Source organism: Homo sapiens, chromosome 3 (assembly GCF_000001405.40).
Source record: "Homo sapiens chromosome 3, GRCh38.p14 Primary Assembly".
Lineage (NCBI taxonomy): Eukaryota > Metazoa > Chordata > Mammalia > Primates > Hominidae > Homo > Homo sapiens.
In genome coordinates, this window is record NC_000003.12 from 63,166,331 (window position 1) to 63,175,412 (window position 9,082).

At 38.3% G+C, this 9,082-nt stretch overlaps 1 annotated feature.

The window, feature by feature from the left end:
* Positions 718 to 1,249: an enhancer, noted in NCBI's record as "NANOG hESC enhancer chr3:63152724-63153255 (GRCh37/hg19 assembly coordinates)". NCBI's record gives its function as "activates a minimal SCP1, AML or CMV promoter by ChIP-STARR-seq in naive H9 embryonic stem cells {active_cell/tissue: H9 hESC(naive)}" and the evidence as "EXISTENCE:reporter gene assay evidence [ECO:0000049][PMID:30033119]".

The following is a 9,082-nucleotide window of genomic DNA, read 5'->3' on the forward strand; positions in this document are numbered from 1 at the left end:
TCAAGTTATTTTTAAACTTTTAATTTTGAGATAATTTAGATTCACGTGTAGTTGTAAGAAACAATATAGAGGGGTCCTGTGTACTCTTTTTCCGGTTTTCCCTAATGGTAACATCTTGCATAGCTATAGTACAATATTACAGAAATTTACACTGATACAGTCTACCAACCTTATTCAAGTTTCACCATTGTTACATGCACTCACTTGTGTGTGTGTGTGTGTGTGTGTGTGTGTGTGTGTGTTGAGTTCTGACCAACTTTGTCACATGTGTAGATTTGTGTGGCCACCATCACAGTCAAAATACAGGACAGCTCTATCACAAGGTATTCAGAATATTTAAAGGAAAAAAAATCAACTAAGAAAATAGTATTATATGTATTTTTAAAAACAAACAGGACATGTAAGCACCAAGAAATTAAGCCTGGCTGGCTCTGAGTGCTGGGATGGTAGCTGACTTACATCTTCCTCTGTGCTGGTGTGTACATCCTCAGTGTTTTCCAGCGACTGTGTCGGTAAGACATTTTTAGTCAGAAAACTGCGACTATTTTTCTAAGATATGGAGGTATTGCAGTAGGAACATTACATTTCAGAATGTACACATCAACATATGTTTTGTGTTATCACATTATGAGTTTATTTAAATCCATTTTTCCCCAGAGAAATGAAACAAAAAAAAGAAGGATTAATTATGACTTTCTACCACTCTAAGGAATTCTCAAAAGCCATGGGCCTCACAGTATGGCAAAAACTATTCTTCCAAGAAATGCAGGTATTCCTCAGGGAGGCACAGGGCCTGCTATTTTGTAGATGAAATGTATCTTTCTGGATAGTCTAGGTTTTCAAAGGCCTGTGAAGAAACACAGAAGAGTTGGGTTGAGATTCCTGAGAGCCTTGCTGGTCGTCTTTGAAAAAGGCTAGTCTGGCCTGGTTGTCATGACGGGAAGCTGTGCCCTCCAGCGATCCTCCCCTGTGGTCTGAGTGTTGTGCAGATGCTCCTTGGGTCTGCTCCAGCTGTGATCCCCAATGACTGTGTCTTGAGGAAATGCCCAGGCTGCCTCAAAGACCCTTTCATGAGCTGCCACTAGCACTGGTCTGCTTCATCCCTTCTTTAGTGTGTCTTGGATGCAAACTGTTTCTTCGTGCAGGGAGAGGCAGTCACCTAGAACAGAAGAAGCCCCTGGAGTCAAGAGACTTCGACTTGGGTCCCTGCACTGGCAGTGTAACCCTTGCACATCACATAGCCAGTCCTGGCTTCAGTTACTTTCCCCACCTGGAGACTCGGGGTCGGCCCCTCTTCTGGGCTGGGCTGTGCTTTGGCATCATTGAGCTTCAACTTTAAACAGATCAGAGTGTCAATCTTTGCTCTAACACTCATGTGACTTTGGGCTGACTCCTCAGCCTGTTTCAGTTTTTAAAATATGTATTATAAAATTCATAATGCTAAGTCACAGCATTGTTGTAAAGAAAAATCCTATATAAACAAAATGCTTTGTCTCCTTGCTATTTCAAGTTGTAACAGTTGCATGGATTTTCCACACAATTTGGATGGTCTGTTAGTTAGATGGTCTGATTTAAAATGTAAGCTATATGGCATATGCAAGATTCATTTTGGGAAGTACTAAGGAGCAACTAGGAGAGAAAAGTCATCATCTGCCCAACCATCTGATATTGAGGAATAAAAGGTGCATGTGCCTGCTGAGCTTAGGGACATACCTTGTGAGTTTGCATAATGCAAAAACAGAAAACAGCAACGGCAAAACCCAACTGTGTAGTATCAAATATGAACCCCATCCCCACCCCACCACCTAAAATTCTCCAGGGCAAACTCTCCTAAAAGCAGACATTGATTTGTGATTATATTGCCTGGCATATGGGCCTCTCTCCATGGCATTTCCAAGGGTGAGAAGTGACTATAAGGGCAAACACACACTGAGCATTTACTGTGCTCCAAACACTGTACTAAGCACTTTACATGTTATATCTCTTTTACTCTTCACCATGCCAGAAGGTGGTTATTGTCATTACTCATCCTATGCAGAGAAGGAAGTAGCAGCCAGGGTTTATTTGCCTATCCCTGGGGTGAACAGGTAGTAGGTTAAATAAGTCTCTAAGCACAGTTAGTTACACAAGTCATTTAGCTGAGTGCTCAGAAACCAGCAGTAATTATTAATGAAGCTAGTTGGAAAGCAACTTATTCTAATACCACATGAGAAATAGTCTTCTGTGCAAAATGTTAGTCTTTTGATTTTGTAGAGATTCAGAGAAGACATTATAGAAGAAAGGACATCTGAGCTGAGCACTGAAAAATAATTAGGATTTTCCTATGAAGACAAGAGGGTCAAGGTTTGTGTAGGGTGAAGGTGTAGAGGCAGCAAGAATGGTAGAAGCAAAGGCATAAAGGCAAAAGAGTGCAGGATGTGTTTGGAGAACTGCACGCGGTCCCAGGTTGCTAGAGCAGAGTACACTAGAGAGGAACTGCAGGAGGCCAGCCTGGGCTATCTGCAGACCTCCTGGGGCTAGATTGGAAAAAAATCTGAAATTTATCTTGTGGGTCACAGGCCTCAAATTGGTGAGCCTTTGATCACATCTGGCCAACATATATCTTTTGTTTGTACTATCCAGAGTTCTTTTATAAAAAATTTTGAATTATCAACATTTTAAAATATGATGTTTTTATCTAAATACCCAATTTCTGGCATTTCTTTAAAAAATGGAACTATTTGGCCATATTGATCCTCTCTTCAATATGGCAACATCATCTGGGGCTGAAAAGCCACTGCCCCTTTAGATAGCTTACTGCAGTTCCCACCCTTCCCTATTGTTGTGCTCAGGAAACTTCCCTCATTTATATTACCTGTCCATTTCCTGTAGGTGTATGAATTGCCAGTGACTGCTGTGGGCAATATGGAGTCATTAAAGGCCATCTAAGAATGAATTATTATGTAGTTACTACCTACCCCTCTACTAGAGGCAAAGAACTTTACTCATTACTGTTTTCTTTAATAAACTAAAATTCGGGCCTTGGAGGGGTGGCTCACACCTGTATATCCCAGCACTTTGGGAAGCCAAGGTCAGGAGATCAAGACCATCCTGGCCAACATGGTGAATCCCCATCTCTATTAAAAATACAAAAATTAGCTGAGTGTGGCAGCGTGCATCTGTAGTCCCAGCTACCCCAGGGGCTGAGGCAGGAGAATCGCTTGAACCCAGGAGGTGGAGGTTGCAGTGAGCCGAGATCGCGCCATTGCACTCCAGCCTGGCAACAGAGCGAGACTCCGTCTCAAAACAAAACAAAACAAAAAAAAGACTAAAATTCTAGTGCTGTGTTTACCAACATTTTAGCCACTTGCCAAATGTGGTTATTTAAAATGAAATTAAATAGAATTAAAATTGCAGTTCCTTAGTTACACAAGCCACATTTCAAGGGCTCAGTGGCTACATGTGGCTAGTGATGACCATGTTGGGAACAGATATAGAAATTCTCTTCACTAGTTAATGGATGCAGCACACCAACATGGCACATGTGTGCATATGTAACAAACCTGCATGTTGTGCACATGTACCCTAGAACTTAAAGTATAATAATATAAAAAATAAAATAAAATAAAAATAAAAAATAAAAGGTACTGGGACAACTGGTTATCCTTACGATAAAAAGTAATATAGACATTTACCTCATTCCATTAAAAAAAAAAAAAGTCTAGGATTATGAGTCTGAGTATTAGAGGCAAAATAACAAAGCCTTTAGAAGATTAAAAAAAAAAGAAAAGAAATTCTCTTCACTACAGAGAGTTCTACTGGACAATGTCATTCTAGTGAGCAGCCAGGGCTGACAAACATTAAACAGTCAGAGGAATATACAACATAAAAGTAGCAACCGATTTGATTGGATGCATGCTGGAGGGGCTAGCTGCAACAGTGAAGGAAGCCTCATGAAGGATTTCAACTAGGATGGATAGGATTAGAATAGAGGAGAGAAAGTGGATAGGACATGAGTAAGGACTAAAGGGAGATTCTATTAGAACTGCTTTGGCTGCAAATTATAGAACAAATAGCTAACAGTAGCTTAAACAAATAGAGAACTGATGCTGACTCTCACTATATTAATCTGAGAGTAAACTGTATTAGCTTTCCATTGTCACCACAATAAATTACCACAAACTCAGTGGCTTAAAACAACACAAATTTATCATTTTACAGTTCTGTAATTTGGAAGTCTGACACAGATCTCACTAGGCTAAAGTCAAGATGTTGGCAAGACTGTGTTCCTTTCTGGAAGCTCTAGGGAGAATTCATTTCTTTGCCCTTCCCAGTTCTACAGGCTGCCCACCTTTGTTGGTTCACGGCCCTTTCTGGCATCTTTAAGCCAACAATCTCACATATCTCTGTGCCTTTCTTCTGTAGTTATGTCTTCCACTGATTCTCTTTTTCCTCTCTAGTCTACTTTTAAAACCCATGAGATTGCACTGGGCCCACCCATATAATCCAAGATATTCTCACTCTTTTTTATTTATCTGATTTAGCAACTTTAATTTCTCTTTGCCATGTAACCTATTATTTTCTAAAGTTCTAGGAATTAGGACGTGAACATCTTTGCACATAATTCTGCACACCACATGGATGCTGGAACAAACTAATTGGAGAGCAACCCTGAAATTCCACTTTTGGGAATTATCCAAGAAAATAATAAGTATTATGCTTTGGAATTGACGGCACAGATATTTATAACAGCAAAAAGTTAAAAGGAAAATCAATGCCTATGAAAAGGCTGGTAGTCAAACAAATTATTATTCATCCATATGATGGAAAGTGCCCAAGCCATATCTGTGTATTGATATGAATGGTGTCAATAATATGTCAAGTGAAAAACACAGAATATATTGAAAGTATTTGATACATATGTCAAACTATTAATAGTAGTTATTTCTGAGAGTGGTCGATTTGGAATGTGAGAGATTTTCACTAGGTTATTGACACTTTTTATAATAATCATTGATTATCACAGAAAAAATTATGCCATGTCCTTTTAGGAATAAAAACCTCAAAGTTGTAAAGAACTGTTTGATCATGGCTGAATTATTTATTAGTAAGTACTTCTATTAACAGAAGTTGTTTTCTTTTTTTCCCAATTGTATCCAAACAATTAGGTCTAAAAGAAAAACAGGGCGCACTGCCATGAGGCATTGTGTGTGTGTCTGAATTCAAAAATCATATAAAATCTTTGTTTGCCGCTTTAATTATCTGACTCTTATGGGTTTTAATAATCTTCCAAATGCTGTTCCCATTTATTAGGCCAATGCATCAGACTTCATTTCACTTAGAGTCTTGGAGTCCACTTGCTTGTCTCACTTATGAAATAGATTGCAGTTCTGAAACCTTAGGCAGCTTGACACATTCAACTTCAGGTCTTTAGACAGATGCATTCACGGTCTCAATGACAGACAATGAGAAAGGGCCTACTATGTGCTAGTCATGATGCACAGCAGGGACTGTCCTGGGAGGTAACATGTTAAGGGAGATACAAAATGAGTTAATTGCTGGATGTCAAAGAAGGCAGACTAGAGATTATCATACATGGAGGTGGCCTGACTGTCAGGCCTGCTAAAGTCTGGCTGTGATTTCTGTTCTTGATTCATGGGAGATATTCGTGTATTTTTCCCTTAAACTTCTTTCTTGCATTAGTTAGCTTGAATATATTTCCATTTGTAATAGTATATATCCTAATTAAGACAGTCAGCATTTCCCAGTTGTGTTTCTCAGAACTAGTGCTCTCTGTACTGTTGCTGGATGTTCTGCTGAAAGATCACAGTATTAGAAAGATTCAGCAAAGGGCAGTGGCTAATTGTGCCACACCTAGGAGTTAAAGCAGTGCTCAGCCTGGACTCAAAGTCCACCCCAAATCCTCTCATAAGCAAGGAGACACAGCTGAACTGTGCATTTCCACTGTGCAAAGCAGCTGGTTCTGTTCACCCCAATCAACATCTCCACCTAATTTCAGACACCCTCCTACAACCCAGATCAACTGCTGAACTCACATAGTAATACTACCTGGCCAAGGAATGATCTTCCTGTGGTTTGGTCCAATCTGAGGTAATTGCAGTGCCTACCCAGAAGCTCAGACTGATTGCAGAATTCAGCCAGTTGTCTCGCTGGATAGCAGAGCCTAGGTAGCTTCTCCATATGAACTCAGAGCAAAGGCAGCAGTCCAGGCATCTAGAGAACCTGAAAGCAAGTTCTAGCTCCTCAGGACTGTCACCAACTGGCCCACTTTGAATCATAGACTAGACTAAATAATGCAAGTGTATCCCTGCCAGAGCACATCTATAAAAGCTGGGAAAGGTGGCTGTTTCCTTTAATGCACAGATACCAATGCAAAGATGCAAGAATTGCAAAGATTCAGGAAACCATTACACCTTCAAAAGAAACTAACAAAGCTCCAACAATAGGACCTAGGAAATGACAGGTGAAGAATTCAGAATAACCTTCTGAAAGATGTTCACTGAACTACAGAATATATGGACAAAAAATAAAATGAAATTTTGAACAAAACATGAACACAACTAAGAGTTTGACAAAGAAGTAGATACAATTTTAAAAAAGAAATCCTCGGGAGGCTGAGGCAAGAGGATCACTTGAACCCGGGAGATGGAGGTTGCAGTGAGCCAAGATCAAGCCACTGCACTCAAGTCTGGAGACAGAGTGAGACTCCATCTTAAAAAAGAAAAAAATGAAAAGAAATCCTAGAGATTAAGAATATAATGACTACGCTGGGCGCGGTGGCTCACGCCTGTAGTCCCAACACTTTGGAAGGCCGAGGTGGGCGGATCACCTGAGGTCAGGAGTTTGAGACCAGCCTGGCCAACATGGTGAAACCCCATCTCTACTAATAATACAAAAATTAGCCAGGCATGGTTGCACATGTCTGTAATCCCGGCTACTTGGGAGGCTGAGGCAGGAGAAGCACTTGAATCTGGGAGACAGAGGTTGCAATGAGCCAAGATTGCACCATTGCACTCCAGCCTGGGCAACAAGAGTGAAACTCTGTCAAAAAAAAAAAAAGAATACAATGACTAAACTAAAAATGCAATAGAAAACTTCAAAAGCAGGCATGATCAAGCTGAAGAAAAATATCAGTGAGCTTGAAGACAGAACATTTGAAATTACATTAACAGAGGAACAAAAAGAAAAAAGAATGAAAAAGCAATGATAGTTAAAAATAATTTATTGTATATTTCAAAATAGGTTGAAGAGAACAATTGTAATTTTCCAACACAATGAAAAGATAAATTATTTGATCATTACACATTGTATACATGTATCAAATATCTATGTATCCCCAAATTATGTACAGCTATATCAATTTTTTTAAATACAGAAAAAAGAAAAATAATAAAGCCTATGGGAATTATGGAACACTATCAAGAGATTTAATCTACACATACTGGGAATTAAAGAAGGAGAAGAGATAAAGGGCCAGAAAGAATATTTTAAAAAATAATAGCTCAAAACTTCCCTAATCTGGAGAAAGATGCCAACATCCAGCCACAGGAAGTTTGAAAGTCTCCAATCACACTCAACCCAAAATGTTCACAAAGACACATAATGATCAAACTGTTAAAAATAAAGACAAAGAAAAAATTATTAGAGCAGCAAAATGTAAGAAACACATCACATACAAAAGGATTCCAATATAATTATCAGTGGATTTCTCAGTAGAAGTCTTAAAGCCAGGAGGGAATGGAATGCAATATTCAGAGTGCTGAAAGAAAAAATACACCTACCAACTAAGAATACTCTACCCAGCCAATTAGTCTTTCTGAAATGAGGGAAAAATAAAAACTTTCCCAGATAAACAAAAGCCAAAGGAGTTTGTCACTACTAGGACTGCCTTGCAGAAATTGCTAAAAGGAGTCCTATAAGCTGAAATAAAAGGCTGTTATTTAATAAAATAAAAGTGATGAAGGCAGGAAATTCATAATAGCATTGTATGAAGCAATGTTATCCCTAGTACAAAGGTTAAAAGACAGAACTACTAACAACGGCTATAGCTAAAATAAATTGTCAAGGGATACATATTATAAAATGGTGTAAATTCTGATATCCAAAACATAACATGGAGGAAGGGAATAAAAGTATAGAGTTATATGCAATTGAAGCTAAGTTGTTATCTGGTTGATATTAAGTAGTATCAGTATAGGATGTTTTATGTAAGCCTCACAGTAACCACAAAGCAAAAATGCATAATAGATGCATGAAATGAAAATAGGAACAATTCAAAGCATATAACAGAAAGCCCTCAAACCACTTTGGAAGACAGCAAGAGAGGAAGACAGAAACAAAGTATATGCAAAAAAAAATCTCAAATAATATTATATCTCACTAAAATAGAAAAAGAGGAACAAAGTAAGCTCAATGTCAGAGGCAGAAAAAAGATAAACAAGTTCAGAGCAGAAATAAATGAAATAGAGATTAGAGAAACAATACAAAACATCAATAAATTTAAATTTAAATTTTTTCTGAAAAGATAAACAAAATTGACAAACTTCTAGCTAGACTGAGAAAAAATGAGAAATGATTCAAATATATAAAATCAGAAATGCTCTACCAAAAAATACAAAAAATTAGCCAGAGCTTGGTGGTGCACATCTGTGGTCCCAGCTATTCAGGAGGCTTGTGAGGTAGGAGAATCACTTGAGCCTGGAAGGCGGAGGTTACAGTAAGCCGAGATCACATCACTGCACTCCAGGCTGAGTGACAGAATAAGCCTCCATATAAAAAAAAAAAATCAGAAATGAAAGTGAATACATTAAAACTGATACCACAGAAGTACAAAGAATCATTAGAGACTATTATAAACAATTATATACCAAGACATTGGATAACCTAGAAAATACGGATAAATTCCTAGATACACACAACCTACCAAGACTGAATCATGAAGAAATAGAAAATCTGAACAGACCAACAACGGGTAATGAGATTGAATCAGTAATAAAAACACTTTCATCAAAGAAAAGCACAGGACTTAATGACTTCATGGCTGAATTCTACCAAACATTGAAAGAACTAATACCAATCCTTC